Source organism: Homo sapiens, chromosome 17, assembly GCF_000001405.40.
Source record: "Homo sapiens chromosome 17, GRCh38.p14 Primary Assembly".
Taxonomy (NCBI): Eukaryota; Metazoa; Chordata; class Mammalia; order Primates; family Hominidae; genus Homo; species Homo sapiens.
The window spans coordinates 51014752-51037388 of NC_000017.11; the positions used below are offsets into that span (position 1 = coordinate 51014752).

Consider the following 22637-nt stretch of genomic DNA (forward strand, 5'->3'; position numbering starts at 1 on the left):
GACAGATGAGGTAAGTTATACACATACAAAATTAAAATTTTTACCTTTAAGGTTAAAAACATAAATAGAGCTTTATAAACTAAAGAAACCCATGATACAAAGGTTTTTTTTTTTAATCAAGTTGCAAAACAGTGTATATACTATATGCCCTATTTTGCAGGGGTGTATAGGGGAATGGGGAAGTGTATATGTTTGTGCCTGAATACTATTATTAATAGAAAAAACTCTGTAGACCATTTCCAGCTAAATATGGTGGAGAGAACATAGTCATTTATCACCTAATAACTCAGAAGCTCAACTAAAATGAAAGTTAAGAAATTAAAAAGGTATACACCCAAAAGGACAAAGAGAATAGAAAAAGAAACTATAGCAGATGAAATGTGAACAAAATTCTGTAAGATGGAAAACAGATGGGCAAACAGTAGAAAGTGATTCAATAGACCAGAGAAAGCTGAAACCTAAGCCACTGGGGTTTAGGGAGGAGGTCAATATGCTGCCAGAACCCCTGAAAGGCCTAGGACTTGAAGGTACCAGCAACCACAGGGAGGGCATGCAGGGAGGAACATGAAACAGAAGGACAGGATTAAAAAAACTGTACAAAAGGCGGTACAGGACCTAGACACAATCCTCCAGAACAGTGAGACCTCCCTTCTCTTGGCACAGCTCCCTAATAATGGAAGCCAAGTTTAAATGTTATAGGCAGGAAAGTGGAGAATCAGCATTATTTACTTAAGTATGAATAAAACAGCCACAGAGTACCAGATGTCTAAAGAAGGCCTCTATTATAAAAGAAAGGGCCCAAAACAAAGAGGATGTGACAGAGACACTAAGAGCAAAAAAAGACAATGCAGGCAGCAGCAACAACAAAAAAACAAAGCACTTAATTTTCTTCAGAATAAATGTTGCATTCGTAAAATAGCAAGATGGTATAAAAAGTACCAACCAATAAAAAGAATTTGGAAAAAAAAAAAGAATGAGGGTTTAAAAAAAAATCTGCCAGCAATTAGTATAAAATAAAAGAGATAGGAAAGAGGGGAGAAAATAAATTATGACAGTCACTCCAGGATGTTCAATGCATACCTAAGAGGTGTTCCAGAACGAGAGCAGAAGAAACAACAATAAGAAGAAAGAGATAAAATTTCCCAGGACTGGAAGATAGGAATGTTCAGATGAAAAGACTTACTTCATATAAGAAGATACAAAAAAGACACCTACACCAAGCACAGTATCATTAATTTTTAAAAAATCAAGAAAGTGACAATCTTAAAAGATTTCAGAAAGTATATAAAAATGAGCAAGAACTCAAATAACAACACCCTGAACTCAGCATGAAAATGAAGTAATGTCTTTGCAATTCTGATGGAAAAAAAATCTCCCAACCCATATAGTTCTTTATCTAGCCAAACTATCAAGTATGTCTTCTTAGGAAATTTGTAACATTCAAGTTCATAGTGCTCAAAAAAAAAAAATTTACTTGTCATGCACCCTTTGCCAGGAAACCTAGTAAGGATATGTTCCGTCAAAACAAAGGCATAAATCAAGAAGCAGGATGATGTGGCATCCAGGAAACAAAAGATACAACAGAGGAGAAAGGTGAAAAGAATTCCAGGGATGATAGTGAGGGCATATTCCAGAACCAGAACAAATATGACAGCAGTCTCAATTGGAGAATGGGAATAGGAGGCTGCAGGAGAGTAAGCCCTAGGAAACAGGCAGGTTTTGTGTTTGGTCATATTGGGGACTTTTACATTTATGAATTGCATAGTGTCTGCCAGTGATTTAGTAACAGGTCCACAGAAACATAAGGAAAAGAAACAAAATAACCCAAGGCTTTATTAATTTCAGAAGAACAAAAAGTTGTAAAAGAAATGAAATGGGCCGTAGCAGTGGCTCACGCCTGTAATCCCAGCACTGGGAGGCCAAGGCGGGTGGATCATGAGGTCGGGAGTTTGAGACCAGCCTGACCAACATGGTGAAACCCCGTCTCTACTAAAAATACAAAAATTAGCCAGGCATGGTGGCTCACGCCTGTAATCCCAATTAGGATGCTGAGGCAGGAGAATTGCTTGAACCTGAGAGGCAGAGGTTGCAGTGAGCCGAGATCACACCACTGCACTCCAGCCTGGGCGACAAAGCGAGACTCCGTCTCGGAGGAGGGAAAAAAATAAAAAAATAAATGAAATGTAATTATACTGTATTCTGTGGCTAAGTAGAATTACAGATTAATTTTATATAGTCATACTGATATAAATAATGAATTTAACTAACAGAATTTGAAATATATAATATTAGGAGGATGAAAGGATGGTGGTTTAGGCATTATATCCTCATCTACTACAGAAAGCCAACAGCTAGCATCACAGCCTTTTTCAACCAGGGTTCCGTATTTGATCTACAAAATACAGAAAAGGATTTAAGTGAGTATTTTTTCCATTCTCCCAAGGTAAGTACATACCTAGAATCCTATTCTAGACGCACAGGAGCATAGCTAATTCATTATATACAAGAGATGCCTTAGGGCATTAGGACTACATTTTCTCACAGAATCTCAGCTGAAAAAGGGAGGGATGAAGGAGGGGCAGGACGAACATGTTATTTTAGATACCTGAAGACAAACAGCATAAGAGAGAGCTAAGAAGTGATAGAGTTGTGCACCCTTTACCCAGAAAGCTAGTAAGGATATGCTCTGTCAAAACAAAGGCATAAATCAAGAAGCAGGGTGATGTAGGATCCAGGAAGAAGAGTGGCGACAGAATGAGAACCTGTCTGAGAGAGAGAGAGAGAGAGAGAGAGAGAGAGACAGAGGGTTCTGGATTTGAATCCCAAGTCCACCTCTTGCTAGCTTGGTAATCTGGGACAAGCTACTTTGAACAAGTTCTAAGTCTCTTTATTTATAAAATAAGGATAAAAAGATCTACCTCATAAGGTTGTAATTAGGATCAAATTATATAAAATCATGATGAAAACAATATTACTTAACATTTATTGAATGGGGCATTTTGCAATGATTTATCATATATTGATTCATTTAATCCTCACAACCATCTGAGGTATTAACACAAAGCTGTTTTATAAATGAGAAAACATACCTAAGATTCAAATCCAAGACAGGATTTGAACCCATGCAGTCTTACTCTAGGGTCTATGCTTTTAACCGCTACAGAGTACTGACTGCACAATGCTTAACAGAGATCAATAAATGGCTTGTATTTTTATAGTCATTAATTAATTAAAGGATCAACTTTATGGAAGAAATGAAAAGAAAGGCAGTAGCTCCTGTCTGACATTCTTGAGCATCAATGTATTTTGGATAATCCTGATTAAGATGATATCTAATCTCCCAGCACTTTGGGAGGCTGAGGCAGGCGGATCACTGGTGCTCAGGAGTTCAAAGTTCAAGACCAGTCTGGCCAACATGGTAAAACCCCATCTCTACTAAAAATACAAAAAGTAGCCCAGTGTGTGCCTGCAGTCCCAGCTACTTGGGAGGCTGAGGTGAGAGAATCGCTTGAACCCGGGGGAGGGGGTGGGGGTGGGAGTGGGGTGAAGGTTGCAGTGAGCTGAGATAGCACCACTGCATCCAGCCTAGGCGACAGAGCAAGACTGCATCTCAAAAAAAAAAAGATGAGATCTAACTATTTTCTTCCTACCACTAAACAGCCTTCCCATGTAAAATGATACCAAAATGAGACTAATTTCTTCCAATAATGAGATTACACTTCTCAAGATGGAAGTACATTCTCTCTTCCTGATCTGGTGGAAGGTACAAAAGTTTGTTCAAACTTTTTTGTTTTGTTTTTTAAATCACATTTATTTAGCATATGTACACATAAAAAAGAAATCACCTTCTGAACCCACCCAGCAGCAGGAAACATGCACAAACTCCAGGTAAGTGCTAGGGGGAGGGGCCCTGGACCCAAGTTAGTGTCCGGGACAATGCAATCTTGTGAGTAACAAGCCCCAGTCAGGAGGGGGCTGGACTGAAGTGTCCGGCAGGCTGGAGTACCCGGCTGCTGGCCCTAAAATAAGCATGCTCCATAGCCAACGGTGTGTTTCATGCCCTCAAAGTAGCACCGCTGCCAGCCCTGCCATGTCCACTCTGTTACTTCCTTCACTCCCGCTTCTTGGTTTTTTCAAGTTACAGAAAGTATGGGATATGTCTTGGCTGTCTTTTTTCCCCTATCTGCTATAGTTTGAATGTGTCCCCTATAAAATTCAGCTGTTGCCAATGTGATAGTATTAAGATGGGGCCTTCAAGAGGTGATTAGGCCATAAGGGCTTCTCCCTTATAAACAGGATTGGGGTCCTTATAGAATAATGAGGCTTTATCCAGTGTTCAGGGCTCACTTGTCCTTCTTCTATGTGAAGACACAGAGTTCCTCCCCTCCAGAGGATGCAGCAACAAGGCACCAACTTGAAAGCAAAGAGCAGCCCTCACCAGACACCTGACCCTGCCAGCACCTTGATCTTGGCCTTCCTAGCCTCCAGAACTGTGAGAAAATTAATTTCTGTTCTTTATAAATTGGCCAGGTGCAGTGGCTCATGCCTGTAATCTCAGCACTTTGGGAGGCCGAGGCAGGCTGATCACCTCAGGAGTTTGACACCAGCCTGGCCAACATGGCAAAACCCCGTCTCTACTAAAAATACAAAAAAAAATTAGCTAGGCATGGTGGTGGGTGCCTGTAATCCCAGCTACTCGGGAAGCTGAGGCAGGAGAATCACCTGACCCTGGGAGGCAGAGGTTGCAGTGAGCTGAGATTGCACCACTGCACTCCAGCCTGGGCTACAGAGCGAGACTCCATCTCAAAAAAATAAACAAGGCTGGGCGCAGTGGCTCACGACTGTAATCCCAGGACTTTGGGAGGCCGAGGCGGGTGGATCACCTGAGGTTGGGAGTTCGAGACCAGCCTGACCAACATGGAGAAACCCCGTCTCTACTAAAAATACAAAATAAGCCAGGCGTGGTGGCACATGTCTGTAATCCCAGCAACTAGGGAGGCTGAGGGAGGAGAATTGCTTGAACCTGGGAGGCGGAGGTTGCGGTGAGCCGAGATCGCACCATTGCACTCCAGCCTGGGCAACAAGAGCGAAACTCTGTCTCAAAAAAATAAACAAATAAATAAATATATAAATTACCCACTCTGGTATTTTGCTATAGCAGTACAAAATAGACTAAGACACCATCCTTCCTGCTCATACACCTAATTTGTGATCCTGCAAAGATAACATTTAACAAAAAATTTAAACCATGTACAGTGTCCAGTTTCAAGAATAGGAATTAGAATATAATACTAACATTTCTTCAACAAAACATCTGAATCCATTTTGTCCAGAGACTGGAGAACAGTGTTTATGGGAGTTGGGGGTGGGGGGCGCAGAATATGTCTTCATCTAACATTTATGTTACCTTGAACCTTTATATCCACTGAGATCTTTGTCCATATCCAGCTCAGGAGTAGATTCGATGATTGCTTGAACTTCTGACTTTTCTTCATTTTCAGCAGAGCCTTAAAAAAGGACATGATGAAATAAACAATACATATATTACACAGTACCCCAATATAAAAATCCTGTTGTTTTTATGGGTGTAAAGGTATCATTTGAACATTTTTTTAAAATGTGCAAGACTGGATTTTAGGAAATACAGCATTATACAATATATCACATATTCAGTTAACAGATTGTATCAAAAACTAATAAGCAACCAAAGAAAGTTTTCCCTTGTGTTTCGTGGAACACACAGTACAATGTATCCAAGGCCCTGCTTTCATTCTTATTTAAAAGATGGAATTTAAAGGAACTAAAGACAAAGACTAAACTAAGATAGGGGACAGAAAAGAACTGTCCTCCCGTCTTTTGGGTTCTGTGACCTCCTGGCCCCCAACTCCTGGCCCCAATAGTTTCTCTCCAAGACTATTTAAACATTACCTCTTTTAAGCTTATTTACAATTGAATACAATTAAGTGCAGTCTTATCTCAGTATCCATGGGGGATTGGTTCCAGAACCCACCACAATACCAAAATCCATGGATGCTCAGGTCCCTTATATAAAATGGCATTGTATTTGCATACAACTTATCAATATCCTCCCATATACTTTAAATCATCTCTAGATTACTTATAATACCTAATACAATGTAAATGCTATGTAAATAATTGTCATACTGTACTGTTTAGGGGATAATAAGAAAAAAGTATGTACATGTTTAGTGCAGGCACAGCTATCATTTTTTTTTCAAATATTTTCAATCTACAGATGCAGAACCACAGATATAGAGGGCCAACTATATCTGCCTATTTTATAAATACAAAGCAGGCAACACCCACAAAGACATATTTTCTCATACCCACATTATCCAGGTTTACTGAATACTTTCCTAGTAAGTAAAGAACTAGGGTCACTCACCAGTAGATACATTTCTAGTTTCCTGGGCTACCTGTACTTCAATGTGTTTGCTTATCTCTGATTTATTTGGCGCATCTGTAACCTTCACAAATCCTTCGTTTTCTTCCTTTAAGGGAGTATCAGTAGGAATTGTTGCCACATCTGAATTAGCTGTTGATGCTGGAGTGGTAGCTTTAGATCCGCCTTGGCTAACATCAGAAAGCTCATCCTACAAATAAAAATAATTTAAAATAAAATTTTAAATGACGAATTTACTCTAAACCACATTAAATGGGTTGAGAAATAAATCTACCAAAGAAAGTTCTATTTTTTTTTCCAAAATAAAGGCAATAAAGAGCCACTGATTACCGGTAAGTACTCTCTTTAGACCCTCTGCAAATAATCGGGAAATATTTAAGTAAACTGTATTTTTTCAAATGATATTTTTCTAAACAGAAAATTTGAAAATAAAAGAATTATTAGCAATAAAACTATACATTAATGTCAATATCATTCTTAATGGCAATTGCAATATTGTACAGTCACTTGGTAATAAAGACCTACTTTAGAACATTTAGAACACATACTCTGTAATAGCTGATCTAAAACAGAAGTAGAATAACCAAATTCTTAACCTCGGGTATCTTTGTAAAGTGTGGTATTAAAATATCCTGCATCTAAATCATTTGAAGTGCTTGAAGTGCTTGTTAAAACGCCGTGGCTCACACCTGTAATCCCAACACTTTGGGAGGCCGAGGCAGGCGGATCACGAGGTCAGGAGTTCGAGACCAGCCTGGCCAACATGGTGAAACCCCGTCTCTACTAAAAATACAAAAAGTAGCCAGGCATGGTGGCAGGCACCTATGATCCCAGCTACTTGGGAGGCTGAGGCAGGAGAATTGCTTGAACCTGGGAGGCGGAGGTTGCAGTGAGCTGAGATCACGCCACTGCACTCCCACCTCAGCAACGGAGCTAGACTCCATCTCAAAAAAAAAAAAAAAAAAAAGCGGGGAGAGGGGGCAGATTCCAGCCACGCACATGCCTGTAATCCCAGCTGAGGCGGGAGGATCCCTTGAGCCCAACAAGACCCTGTCTCTTTGAAAAAAGAGAAAAGAGTAGGGAGTAGGGAGGAGTAGACAGAGTCTAAGTCCAACTCCAGACTTAATGCACCAAACTTTGGGCAGTGAGAATAGGTCATCTATATTTTAACAAGCAATCCAGGTGAGTTACATACTCATTGAAATTTGATCACTATTATAGGATCTACAGATAGGTTTCAAGAGGTATATGCAAATTGAAATTGTATGCAAAAATTTGTGTACAATGTATTTCTCTGGGAAAAGAATCATAGCTTTTATCAGATATTCAAAGGGGTTTGCAGCTCCAAAATAATTATAAACAATTGTCCAGTGGCTATCAAAAATGAAGCAGTTCTTTTGGAGCACCCAGGTTTTAAGAAAAGAGAAACTGACAAAAAGTTTACAGCCACCACCACTAATAATAATAATAATAATAATAATAATAACAATAGGCCGGGTGCAGTGGCTCACGCCTGTAATCCCAACACTTTTGGAGGCCGAGGCAGGCGGATCACCTGAGGTCGGGAGTTCAAGACCAGCCTGACAAACATGGAGAAACCCTGTCTCTACTAAAAATACAAAAAATTAGCCGGGCATGGTGGCGCATGCCTGCAATTCCAGCTACTCGGGAGGCTGAGGCAGGAGAAACACTTGAACCCGGGAGGCAGAGGTTGCAGTGAGCTGAGATCGCATCCAGTCTGGGCAACAAGAGTGAAACTCCATCTCAAAATAATAATAATAATAATAATAATAATAATAAATCAGGGTTAGGGTAAATTAAGTGAATTTATCATTCACTAAATGTATGACCTTGGGTAAGTAATGTATTCTTTCTAAACCTTTGTTTTATCATCTGTAAAATATAGATAACAGTATCTACTTCTTAAGATTCTTATTAAGTTATTCTACATTATGGCTTAGCAATGTGTTTCACACATACTAAGAATTTAAAATATTAACTATTATTATAATAGTAACTATTTGTATAATTCTAAATACATAATTATATATTTTTATAATTTATAACTATTATAATAGTAACTATTAGTATAATTATAATACATAATTATATATTTTTATAATTTATTAATTTATAATATTTTAATTATAAATTATATATACTATATATAATTCCCTTAAGGGAGTATCAGCAGGAATTATTGCCACATCGATTTAGCTATTGATGCTGAAGTGGTAGCTTTAGATCCACCTTGGCTAACATCAGAAAGTTCAACCTACAAATAGAAGTAATTTAAAAGAAATTTTAATTGAGTAATTTATTCTAAAGTACTTTAAAAATTGGTTAAGAAATAAATTTGCCCAGAGAAAGTCACAATTTTTTTAAAAGGCAATAAAGAGTCACCGATTATCAATAAATAATCTCTCTAGCTCCTCTGCAAATAATTGGGAAATATTTAAGTAAATCGTATTTTTCCAGGCGTACATGAAATTCTTCTTTTTTTTCTAAGACAGAGTCTCGTTCTTGTCACCCAGGCTGGAGTGCAGTGGCATAATCTCAGCTCAATGCAACCTCCACCTTCCAGGCTCAAGCGATTCTCGTGCCTCAGTCCCCTGAGCACCTATGATTACCGGCGTGCGTCACCATGCCCCACTAATTTTTTGTATTTTTGGTACAGACGGAGTTTTGCCACGCTGCCCAGGCTGGTCTCAGATGCCTGGCCTCAAGCGATCTGCTGGCCTCAGCCTCCCAAAGTGCTGGGATTACAGGCGTGAGCCATTGCGCCCAGCCGATTTTTCTAAATAGAAAATTTGAAAATACAATACGAAAGGCATTAGCAGCCAGGCTCGGTGGCTCACGCCTGAAATCCCGACATTTTGGGAGGCCCAGGCAGGCGGATCACCTGAGGTCAGGAGTTTGAGACCAGCCTGGCCAACATGGCGAAACCCGTAATCTACTAAAAACACAAAAATTAGGCATGGTGGCAGGTGCCTGTAATTCCAGCTACCCGGGAGGCAGAGGTTGCAGTGAGCTGAGATCGCACCACCGCACTCCAGCCTGGGGGATAGAGCGAGACTCTCTCCAAAAAAGGAAAAGCATTAGTGATAAAATTACACACTGATGTCAACATCATTTTAATGGCAGTTGCAATACTGTATCACTATTAATTACAGTATATTGTACATATTAATTATAATATATTGTACAATATATTTTACACAACATATAAAAATAAAATAGCATATCCATGTTAAGAGTACAATACTTTGGCCAAGCGTGGTGGCTCATGCCTGTAATCCCAGCACTTTGGGAGGACGAGGCAGGCAGATCACCTGAGGTCAAGAGTTCGAGACAAGCCTGGCCAACATGGAGAAACTCCGTCTCTAAATCAGCCGGGCGTGGCGGCACACGTCTGTAATCCCAGCTATTAGCGAGGCTGAGGCAGGAGAATCACTTGAACCCAGGAGGCAAAGGTTGCAGTAAGCTGAGATTGCACCATTGCACTCCAGTCTGGGCAAAAAGAGCAAGACTCTGTCTCAAAAAAAAAAAAAAAATTGTACAATACTTCATGTATGCCTGTAATCCCAGCTACTTCGGAGGCTGAGGCACAAGAATCGCTTGAATGGCCTGGGCAACACAGCAAGATCCCATCACATAAAACAATAATAATGTATTGTACACTTAAAATTTTTAGAGGGTAGATCTCATATTAAATGTTCTTACCACAATAAAATAAAAAAGGCTGAGGCAGGAGAATCGCTTGAACCCAGGAGGCAGAGGTTTCAGTGAGGCAAGATTGCGCCACTGCACTCCAGCTTGGGCAACAGAGCAAGACTTCATCTCAAAAAAAAAAAAAAAATTGGCCAGGTGCAGTGGCTCACGCCTGTAATCCCAGCACTTTGGAAGGCCGAGATAGGTGGATTAGTTGAGGTCAGGAGTTCCAGACCAGCTTGGCCAACATGGGGAAACCCCGTCTCTACTAAAAATACAAAAATTAGCCAGGCATGGTGGCACATGCCTGTAATCCCAGGTACTCAGGAGGCTGAGGCAGAGGAATCATTGAACCCAGGAGACGGAGGCTGCAGTGAGCCAAAATTGTGCCACCACACTCCAGTCTGGTGACAGGGTGAGACTCTGTCTCAAAAAAAAAAAAAAAAAAAAAAAAAAAAAATGCTATTTTCTTGAATTGGTAACTGGCACCCAATATAAAATATAAAAGTATCTGATAGAAACCTACTAATTCCAGCAAATTCATTTGTTTGGAGTTGAGTCAAAAAGACTGACAGTATTAATTAAAAAAAAAAAAAACTGACAGTATTTAACACCTCTGGAGCCAAAGAGATTGATAGTGAAAACAACTACAAGTCCCTCTGAGCACCATTTGCATTGTCTTTGCTTTGATGTATACTCGATTAAAAAATAAGTGGTATTTGGCTGGACACGGTCGGCTCATGCCTGTAATCCCAGCACTTTGAGAGGTTGAGGTGGGCATATCACTTGAGCCCAGGAGTTTGAGATCAGCCTGGGAAACCTGGTGAAACACTGTCTCTACTAAAAATGCCAAAAATTAGCCCAGCATGGTGGTGCACGCCTGTAGTTCCAGCTACGAGGAATGCTAAAGCATGAGAATCGCTTGAACCCAGGAGGCAGAGGCTGCAGTGAGCTCAGATTGCACCCATGTTATCATGTACATGAATTCTCATTCTTTAAAAGTTTCAAACGTAACACACATTAAAAAATATAAAATAAACAGTCTGTATTTCTGATAAACAGTGTTGATGAAAGCACTTAAAACCCATTAAGACGGCGGATTCAGAAAGCCCTAGAGAATATTGAGTTCATCTATATGAGAAAGTGATATGCCTTTGAAACTATGTCAAAAATAAATAATTTGAGGTCAATCTTGGAATTCTCATTTACCTCTTAAATATAGAGAAATTATTTCTTCTTCCTCCTTATTATTCCAGTCCCCCACTCCCCACAAAAGGCAGGTTATTTTCACCTCAGAAAAAATTGTATTTAGTAATTTAAAAGTTCACAACATATGAAGTGTGGCAAAGGCCTACTTTCCAAATTCATTTGTGGATCTGGGAGCATGAAATAAAATAACCAGGAGACAGTCTAGATATCATGGGGTGAAAAGAGAAAAAAAAAAAAAAAAAAAAAAAAATAACCAGGAGAGAGCTGAACCTAAAACAGGAAAGGGACCATGATACCTCAGCAATCCCAAGGTTTCAGGCTACAAGGAAGTGGTTAATTTAGATCTACTTAGAAGAAAATTATGTTTTAAATTTATCCTAGGCTATCCAAATAAAATGAAATTTACTTATATGTAACTTACTTCCCTTTTATACTTACCACATAAAAATATTTTACACTCTTTAAAATAGCCCAATGTGTGGGCTATATTTCTGACAACTAGATCCCAGAGATACAGCATGAGAGCTGAGAAGGGAAAAGCTCTGATTTTAGGGGTTGAGCCCTTTTCTTTTTCTTTTCTTTTTTTTTTTTTTTTTTGAGACGAAGTTTCGCTCTTGTTGCCCCAGGCTGTAGTGCAATGGCGCAATCTTGGCTCACCGCAACCTCTGCCTCCCAGGTTCAAGTGATTCTCCTGCCTCAGCCTCCCGAGTAGCTGGGATTACAGGCATGCGCCACCATGCCCAGCTAATTTTGTATTTTTAGTAGAGACGAGGTTTCTCCATGTTGGTCAGGCTGGTCTCGAACTCCTGACCTCAGGTGATCCGCCTGCCTCAGCCTCCCAAAGTGCTGGGTTTAGAGATGTGAGCCACTGCGCCCGGCCGGGAAACCATTTTTGAAAGAGGTCTTTCTTCTTGGTATCCCAGGCAGTGGTGACATAAAGCTTCTAAGATTAGCAGAAAAGCACTTAGATGGGAAATCGGACAAAGTATTTGGCCAGGGGCACAATATTCTTGCATTATACCTCACTAACTGCCTCCAACTAAAGACAGAATGAGGCTAAGCACAGTGGCTCATGTGTGTAATCACAGCCCTTTGGGAGGCCAAGACAGGTGGATCACTTGAGGTCAGAAGTTTGAGACCAGCCTGGCCAACATGGTGAAAACTCATCTCTACTAAAAATACAAAAATTAGCTGGGTGTAGTGGCATATGCCTGTAGTCCCAGCTACCTGGGCGGCTGAGGCACGAGAATCACTTGAATCCAGAAGGGGGAAGAGGTTGCAGTGAGCCAAGATCATACCACTGCGCTCCAGCCTGGACAACAGAGCAAGACCTTGTCTCAAAAAAAAAAAAAAAATCATTGACCTGTTAAAAATTAAAATATACTACTTTTGGTCAACAGTACACTCATAAGATAATACGATCATGTGCCACATCTGCATAATGACATTTTGGTCAATAATAGACAGCATACAGCATATATAGTGGTGGTCCCATAAGATTAAAATGAAGCTGAAAAATTCTTGTTGCCCAGTGATGTTGCAACTGTCATAATATCCCAGTGCAATGCCCTAGTGTGTTAACAAAACTATTGCACTGCCAGGTGTATAAAAGTATAGTACATGCAATTCTATACAGTACATAATACTTGATAATGATAAACAATTATGTCACTGGTTTATGTATTTACTAAAATTTTCATTGTTATTTTAAAGTATACTCCTCCTTCTACTTAAAAATAATAATAAAGTTAACTATAAAACAGCCTCAGGTAGGTCCTTCAGGAAGTACTCTAGAAGAAGGCACTGTCATCATAGGAGGTGATAGCTCCATGTGTGTCATTGCTCCTGAAAACTTTCCAGTGGGACAAGATGTGGAGGTGGAAGATACTGACATTGATGATCCTGACCCTGTGTAGGCCAAGGCTAATAATATGTGTGTGTCTTGGTTTTTAACAAAAAAGTTTAAAAAGCAAAAAAAAAAAAAATTTTTTTTAAATAGATAAAAGCTTATAGAATAAGGATATAAAGAAAATATTTTCATAGAGCTATACAATGTGTTTGTGTTTTAAGCTAAACATTATTACAAAAAAATCAAAAAGGTAAAAAAATTTAAAGTTTATAAAGTAAATAAGTTACAGTAAGCTAAGGTTAATTTATTATTGAAGAAAAAAATTAAATAAATGTAGTATAGTTTAAGTGGACAGCATTTTATAAAGTCTACAGTAATGTCCAGTAATGCTCTAGGCCTTCATATTCACTCACTGCTCACTCACTGACTCACCAAGAGCATTTGCAGTCCTGCAAACTCCATCCATGGTAAGTGCCCTATAGAGGTATACCATTTTAAATTTTTCATATTGTATTTTTACTGTATCTTTTCTATGTTTAGGTACACAAAATAGTTACCACTGTGTTACAACTGCCTACAATATTCAGTACATGCTGCACAGGTTGCAGCCTAAGAGCAACAGGCCATACCATATAGTTCAGGTGTGTAGTAAGCTATACTGTCTAGGTTTGGGTAAATTCACTCTATGATGTTCCTACAACAAAATCACCTAAGTACACATTTCTCAGAATGTATCTCTGTTGTTAAGCGACACATGACTATGTATGCAAACAAGGGAAAATTCTTAAGAGGTCCTAATTGAAAAGCATTTATTATGAATCATTCAACATAAAGTTCCAGGGGAGTTGCATGCTGTCATTTCACATTCAATCTGTGGCTTCTTGACACTGCAAATTCCTATTTTATATTAGACTTTACAGGTCACTTGCCAGGTTGTGCTGTTTTGGCTAATACTCTTGACTGCAAATGACCACTAGCCTATCAAATCCTATTGTCTGACATCATTAAGATATCTTTTTCAATGGCATGAGTGGTGGCAAACATGGAGACTTACGCAGTCATCAAGTCTCTTTCTAACATATTTATTTTATAGCCCCATTTTCCCCTTTAGAGCCTTTAGGGAACTGCCACATCATAGGTGTACATGTCACTAGAGAATGTTCACAAAAAGCTAGTACAAGATTTGGAAGTGCATATAAAAGAATGGCATGTCTGTGCATATTTAAATTGTGCTTTGAAAAAAAATAGATGTAACACAAATGGCCAAAAAGCATATAAAATGATGATCAACACCACTAATCACTGGAGAAATGCAAATCAAAACCACAATGAGATATCATCACCTGGCCCCCATCAGGATGACCACTATCAAGAAAAAGAGGATGTGAATACATTAGACACTTGTGCATTGTTGGTAGGATTGTAAAATGATGCAACCACTCTGGAAAACAGTATGAAAGTTCCTAAAAACATTAAAAATAGAACTACCATATCATCCAGCAATCTCACTTCTGGGTATGTATTCACAAAAGCATTATTCGTAACAGCCATAAGGTGAAACCAACCCAAATGTCCATTAACAAATAAATAAACAAAATATGGTGTACACATACAATCAAATAAATATTACTCAGCCTTAAAAAGGAAGGGAATTCTGTCACATGCTATAACATGAATGAACCTTGAGGACATTATGCTAAATGAAATAAGCCAGTCTCAAAAAGACAAACACTACATAATTCTATTTATGTGCGGTATTTAATATGTGACATCAAATTCATAGAAACATAAAGTAAAATGGTAGTTTCCGGGGCTACAGTAGTTGGAAAGGAAGTTATTATTTAATGAGTGCAGAGTTTTAGATTTGCAAGATGAAAAAGCTCTGGTGCTGTTTTACAATAATATGAATATACATAACACTATTGAACTGTATACTTACACTATTGAACTATATACTTAAAAATGGTTAAAATGGTCATTTTTTTCCTCCCTGTGGAGACCACATCAGAGGTCATAAGATGGTAATTTTTATGTGTTTTTACCACACACACAAAATAAACGTCATTACTTTCAGTTTCACTTGAGATACTGCAGTAAAAGCAATCTGGTCTTTGTGCCATTTTCTTATGGGTTTTAAATATCAGGCTAAAAGTCTATAAGCTCTTCAAAATATTTTCAGTTGTTCCATTTACCAAATGCACCATGTGCTTAGTGCTATACAGAATATATATGTCATGGATTATCTGGCATTGCAGCATAACTATTTTCTAACAGACTATAAACTATGTTTACAACTAGAGAAAATGAATTATCCCATTCAGTTCAACTTACAGACACTACATGCCAATGTAGTGTTTTCCTGAGTAGCCTAACTTCTGAAATAAGTCATATAAAGGCAAGCAACTCTGCTACCTAAGTTTGTCTCTTAGATTTGAGGGTTTTAAGCCAAATGAAAATAAAGACAAAACTACAAACAAGTAACTAGCCCCACATAGGATCCCTCACTATTAACACAAATATACTTTTATACCTACATTTCTTTCTCCCCAAGTAAAAGTAAGTCTCTAAAGCATTGGTTCTTAAAACTCTTTTGATTTACAGCTATGTGGCATAAAAGAGTTACAAAATGGTGTGTACATACATTCTTCTGGAGAGTTTCAAATAATTTGACTCCTAAGAGTCTGTGACCCAAAGGAAACACTAAAAACCTTAACTCTAGATACTCACATTTAGGTAAAATCCATCTAAGTGTAAACAGAATGGTAGCTTCAAGAGAATTCAAATTATTAAAGGAAAGGTATGAATGTCCTAACTCTGAGTATATTTCAAAGGAAGAGGATACTGTTTCACTGTTGATGCTAGAGGGCTTCCATGGACCCAGGTCAACCCCTGACCTAGCACGTAGGAGAAAGTCACAGATATCCTGTTATCCCCAGTGCCCAGCATATCAAGCCTGACATGTAGCAGGCTTTTTTTTTTTTTTTTTTTGAGATGGAGTCTCGCTGTGTTGCCCAGGCTGGAAGGCAGTGGCACCATCTTAGCTCACTGCAACCTCCACCTCCCGGGTTCAAGCAATTCTCCTGCCTCAGACTCCTAAGTACCTGGGATTACAGGTGTCTGCCACCATGCCTGGCTGATTTTTGTATTTTTAGTAGAGACAAGATTTCACCATACTGGCCATGCTGGTCTTGAACTCCTACTCCTGACCAAGTGATCCGCCTGCCTGGGCAGAGTGCTGGGATTTCAGGCATGAGCCACCACACCTGGCCTGTAGTAGGCTCTTAACAGATGTTTGATGAATAAAGCTGGATGGTGCCCTGACTGGAGATGAAGAACTCTATTAAACTAAGGAAGCAGTCCACTGTAAGATGACACACTAGGCCACATTCAGGACAAATACAAGTTACATACATTATGCCCTGAAGAAGGTATTTCTGGAAAGTATACCATTACATAGAGCTGGATAAATGCAAACAGGCTGAATTTCACAGAATTTACTTATATTTTCTTTCCTTTATTTAAAAATGCTTACTTTGGGGAAGGAATAAATTACAGATTGCAGTAAAGCCCTGACAACCACTACAGTGGAAATAATTTTCTTTTATATTTCAGTGAATTACAACAATAGTCTTCCAAGCTGAGCATCTGATGTCTTGAGAATAGCAGTTGAGGAAGTAATCAATAGTTAATCACTTTAGTATACTTTTTGCAAAATGTTAAGAAGCACCATTCTCACCTCCTGTTCTACAGCCTTCTGAGGTTCAGGACTATTGCTGACCTAGGAAGAGGGAAGATTATAAAAGAGAAAAAAATTATGTGTTTACTAGGTTTTAACACAGCTGTAACTTTGGCTTGTACTATCTCCCAAGATACAAGATTCATCTATTATCTACTGTGTTTAAAATGAGGGTTTGGAAGCTTTGTTTTATTTTGACTTAAGCTGACCTTAACACTCTAGTTTAAGTAATATCATGGTTCAGAAGCCACCACTTGGATCAGTGTCTTATACTTATCAACATGCAGCTCATTGTTTAACCTTTTTTTTCTACTTACACCACTTTATGAAATCTTCCTGATGTTTATTCCAGTCCCTTTGACTATTTAACATGCTAATAATCCAGTGCAGCATACTCAGAAATGTTTATCACACCTCCTTCTATCATTTCTGAATTAGTTAGATAACACTAATGATCAAAGGATCACCAAAATCCAAATCCTTTTTCTTATTTTTTTTGAGACACGGTCTCACTCCTGTCGTCCAGGCTGGAGTGCAGTGACACGATCACGGCTTGCTGCAGCCTCAACTTCGCAGGATTCAGGTGATTCTCCCACCTCAGCCTCCCAAGTAGCTGGGACTACAAGTGTACCCCACCATGCCTGGATAAATTTTTGTATTTTTAGTAGAGATTTGGTATCGCCTTGTTGCCCAGGCTGGTCTTGAACTCCTGGGCTCAAGTGATCCATCTTCCTTGGCCTCCCAAAGTGCTGGGATTACAGGCATGAGCCATGTGCCCAGTCCCAAATCCTTTTTCATAAAAATCTATTTATTCATATTCTTTATTTCTATCTATACATTTTCCCTCTATGAGACGGATGTGTTTCTCTTAAATACAAAGCAACAGTTTCAAATACTCTTGGTCTGGAAATTCATCAAAGTCTTTTTGAAAGGCTGCTAGCTCTCAGTTATGCCCTTAAAAATACACAGATTAGGCCGGCCGCAGTGGCACACACCTGTAATCCCAGCACTTTGGGAGGCTAAGGCAGGTGGATCACCTGAGGTCGGGAGTCCAAGGCCAGCCTGACCAACATGGAGAAACTTGTCTCTACTAAAAATACAAAACTAGCTGGGCGTTGTGGCGGGCTCCTGTAATCCCAGCTGCTCTGGAGGCTGAGGCAGGAGAATCGCTTGAACCCAGGAGGAGGAGGTTGCAGTGAGCCGAGATCACGCCATTGCACTACATCCTGGGCAACAAGAGCGAAACTCCATCTCAAAAAAAAATAAAAAATACAAAATACACAGATTAACAAGGCATGATTCACTTTGTAGGAATCAGACTGCCTCTTCTTTAACAGATGTGGTTTTTTTTTTTCCCCTAGCTTTATTGAGATATAACTGACAAATACAGCATATAGTTAAGGTGATTTTTTTAATACACATTGTGAAACAATCACCACAGTCAAGCCAATAAACATATCTAGCACGTCATACTTTTTTTGGTGGTAAGAGCACTTAATGTTTATTTATAAGATCTTTGATTCTAGATTCTCATCATCTTTAATCATTCTCTTCATCAAAAACTAGGTAAAAACTTGGGTAGCTCTCTCTATATAAAAGTAGAAAGATTGTCAAGCTATGTCATTAAATGAAAAAAAAAAAAAAAAGCAAGCAGCAGGAAAACACTTATAAACCCACTTATCTTAAAAAGATATTATATCTATGTGCACCTGTAAAGAAAAAGGCCAAGGATACATCAACTATTTACAATGACTGGGGGAAAAAATGAAATTTAGGGTTGAAGAAACTTCCCATTCCTACTCCACATTCTTCAGTATTACTAAAAATTGTGAAACTGAATTAATATAATTTTTTAGACACAGGATCTTGCGATATTGCCCAGGCTGAAGTGCCGTGGCTATTCACAGGTACCATTACAGTGAACTGCAACCTGGAATTCGTGGCTTCAAGCAGTCTTCTCACCTCAGCCTCCTGAGTAGTAAAATAACTTTTTAAAAGAAATTATAAAGGCCTCTTTTAGAAAATATTTGGACCTCTGAGCACCTTAACAACATTTCTAGTACATGGCATTGTGCCTAACACAGTGAGCATCAATAAATTTTTTTGAGTGAAAAAGGTAATTTTTTCAGTAGAAAATGTTAAACAACTTCTCCTATTCTAAAAGTCTGTTTAAACAGTAAATGTAAGTATTAATAAATACCTATGTGCCAATTACCTCAGATGAAGTCACATTTAAAATACAAGCTTTAAACACCGCCATTTTGAAAGTGCTGCTTATTTACATCTTTATCAGTTTCTATTCTCAACATACATAATAGGCATCTTGGTCAACATACAACACAATAGAATCTTTACCCTTTTTTTCCTTCCAAACCCTAACAGTCACCTATAGGTGGTTCCTAAAGTTATCACATGAAGATATATGTGAGGAAAAAAGCTTATAAGCAAAAATTGAGTTTATAGAACAAATTCCTTATCCACTGTCATAAACAAAACAATATGAAATATTACAACACATAATCCATTTTTTTCTTAAAACTCTACTTTTATTTTACCCTAGTAGGCACACTAATACAAAATTCTATAAAGGAGGTATAAACTAATGGAAAAACCCAAACCAGAAGTAAATGAATGAATAATGCCTAGATCTTGGTTCCTAAATACACTTCTCCCAAAAAATGTGCCAGAGCTCCTTTGAGAAGTAGTCCAATTTTTAAGAGTGGGGCAGGGAAAATACAACAGCTTAGAGCATCTTATGGTGCCAATAAGGAAGAAAGCATTCAAAAAAGGATGGGGTATGTCAAAAGAGCACAGGAGCCAACCTGAAAGAGCTCTCAATGTCCAAAGCTAGAAAAATTTGAGAAACCAAAGAAATGATAGGTTCGCATAGCCCACAGAATAATATATGTATATATCCCTTGAATTCAAACTGGACTGGAGGGAAGGAGGGAAGAAGACAACTCTCCCTGATAGAAGAATTCCAATTAATAAATGTAGAATGAAGAAAATAGAAAATAACTATTAGCAATATTTTACTAATAATTGTTGTAGGCAAAATCCACTGTGGATGCTAAAATCAGTGAATGAAAGTTTGAGCAGAAACAGGGTATCTGCACAGTCTCAAAGTATATCCACACCAAGATACTAGATTCTGTTATATTCTCGCCAAAAATACATAACCTCAATCTAATAATGAGAAATCAGAGAAGCCCAAAGGGAGAGACATTCTACAAAACAACTAACCAGTACTCTTCAAAAGTCTCAAGGTCATGAAAGACAAGACAAGACTGAGGAACTGTTACACACTGGGAACACTGGCGAGACATAATGTACAAAGGCAATGTGGAAGCCAGGTGTGCTGGTTCATGCCTATAATCCCTGCACTTTGGCAGACTGAGACAGGAGGATTACCTGAGGCCAGGAGTTTGAGACCAACCTGGGCAACATAGTGAGGCCCTGTCTGTAATAAAAATTTTTTTTAAAAAAGCAATATGGGATCCTGGGCTGGATTCTGGAAGGGAAAAAGGATATTAGTGGAAAAACTGGTAAAACTCGAATACAGGTTTACCTAACAGTATTGTACCAAAGTTAATTTCATAGCTTTGATGATTGTATTATGGTTAGTTAACATCAGGGGATGCTGCGTGAAGGGTATATGGAACTCTGCACTATTTTTGCAACTTTTCTGTAAGTCTAAAATTACTTCAAAAAAGTTATTTAAAACTGCGAACTTTAACTTTTTAAATTACATATGCATTTTATAATAGGAATTGCAAATAACAATAGATATGATTCAACTACTATAGAGATTAAAGCTTGTAGAAACTAAAGAAATAGGAACAATTTCAGAACTTAACCACAAATGGAGGAGGATGGAAAATTCTCTCAACAAGAATGCTGGCTCTGTTTAGACATTTCCTGTTCTGCATGCTAAGCACATCCCCTGAAGAATGCAGCACACATTGACTGGCTTTACATACCAAACTCTGCTAACAAGAGCTTCTCACAGCAGTTTACTAAAGTATCACAAGTCATGTGATTTTATGAGAACTCTCTAAAATTTTCACAAGTAGGTGTCTATCCAATTGGTTTAGTTAGTTAAAATTGCTTTTCTCAGATCTAAAGGTCACATTCTACTAATAATCAACAACCAAGGATGCTCTTCAAAGAAAAAAATACTTTTTTGGAGTACATATGTATACACATGCATACATGTGTGTGCATGTTCTATGCCAGCCATATAATTTTCATGATGCTTTCTAGGCCTTGGATGGTTATTTACCACAGTATTATTTGTAACAGCAAAAGACTAGGAAAAATGAAGCTGTCTCAGCAACGAAGGAGATCTGAATTGCAGCTGGGATATGTGATCCCTTCCCCTCTGCCCTTCTTCTAAGATTCTGATACATCAATTATCTTTCTTCACTCCCTTGTCTTCAATTTTTCTCTCTATTGAACCCTTCTTGTAAGCATAGCAACAACCCAGTCTCTCCCATTCTATACTTTTCCCTCTGCTCTGCCAATCTCCACCTCAAGTTATCCTTTTTCTCTCCTCCCACCACAATCACCATTTTGAGTAGTCTACACATGTTATTTCCTCTTTTTATGATTTACAGTTACTCCTGTTACTGGCCCTACAACTTAAACTGCTCAAATCTACACCTATAAATTTACAAATTCAGTCCTCATTCTACTTGACTTCCCCACACCAGCTGACCCTGCTGACATCTTCTTCCATTCTAAAACTCCCTTTGTGCCTCGACTTTCAGCGCTCAAGTCTCTTACGGTCTCTCTTCTCTGCCACTACAGCCCTCCACTAATGCCCTTCTTTTCCCATGCATCTTCTTTCTTCTCCACTCCAGCCCCCTCTCCCCCTACCACACACAGATGCTGCCTTCCTCATCTGCTCAGGCTCTGACACTCTATACCTGGGACCTCTCCTTGGGGAGGCTCTCATCATCCTGTTTAGGGTCTTGTACCCCCAAGCCTGGCTGCCATCCTGCAGGGATGTCCTTAATGTTGCTGGGGCCCTGACTCTCTACACCAGGCTACCCCATATGGATTACCCTTGTAACTTTGCTTAGGTTATGATAACAACCCCACCCCTGCTCCTAAGCACCATGGAAAGCCTTACCTTCCTCTGCCCTGCCTGGTGGCTTTAGAACTAAATTGTGCAGAAAGGAAAGAGAAAGGGAAGATGAAGCAATACTATACCACCTTAATAATTACGCTTTATAGTAAATCTTAATACCTGGTAGAGCAAGTTCTTATACTTACTGTTCTTCAGGACTGTCTTGGTTATACTTGGCCTTTTGTTTTCCAATTCCTTCATTTGTAGCTTCTTTGTGAATATAATTCAGTAAGATTAACTGTCTCACCTTAACATTTTGTCCATTCTCAGTCTTAGCCCATGACTATTACTATTATTATTCATTATTTTTCTTGAGACAAGGACTTTGTCACCCAGGCTGCAGTGCAGTGGCATGATCATGGCTCACTATAGCCTCAGCCTCCCAGGCTCAAGTTGATCCTCCTGCCTGTGCCTCCTGAGTAGCAGTGACTAGAGGCGCACACCACCATGCCCAGCTGATTTTTAAATATTTTGTAGAGACAGAGTCGCTTGACACTAGAGGAATAAATTTTAAAAATACATAAAAAATAGGCCGGGCGCGGTGGCTCAAGCCTGTAGTCCCAGGACTTTGGGAGGC

The 22637-nt window shown here is 38.8% G+C and overlaps 1 protein-coding gene across 10 annotated transcripts in view; it reads right to left on the reverse strand.

The window, feature by feature from the left end:
• Positions 1–22637, reverse strand: part of SPAG9 (sperm associated antigen 9) — a 158695-nt gene that overhangs the window by 52578 nt on the left and 83480 nt on the right. For 5 of the 10 annotated variants that reach the window (NM_001130528.3, XM_005257768.3, XM_017025285.3 and 2 more), the window contains 3 exons: positions 16930–16971; positions 6407–6614; positions 5408–5507 (listed from right to left, as the gene is read on the reverse strand). In NM_001130528.3, coding sequence (NP_001124000.1) covers positions 5408–5507; positions 6407–6614; positions 16930–16971 — 350 coding nt within the window. The remainder of the gene's footprint in view (positions 1–5407; positions 5508–6406; positions 6615–16929; positions 16972–22637) is intronic. The other 5 variants (NM_003971.6, XM_005257771.4, NM_001130527.3 and 2 more) reach the window with 1 other exon arrangement.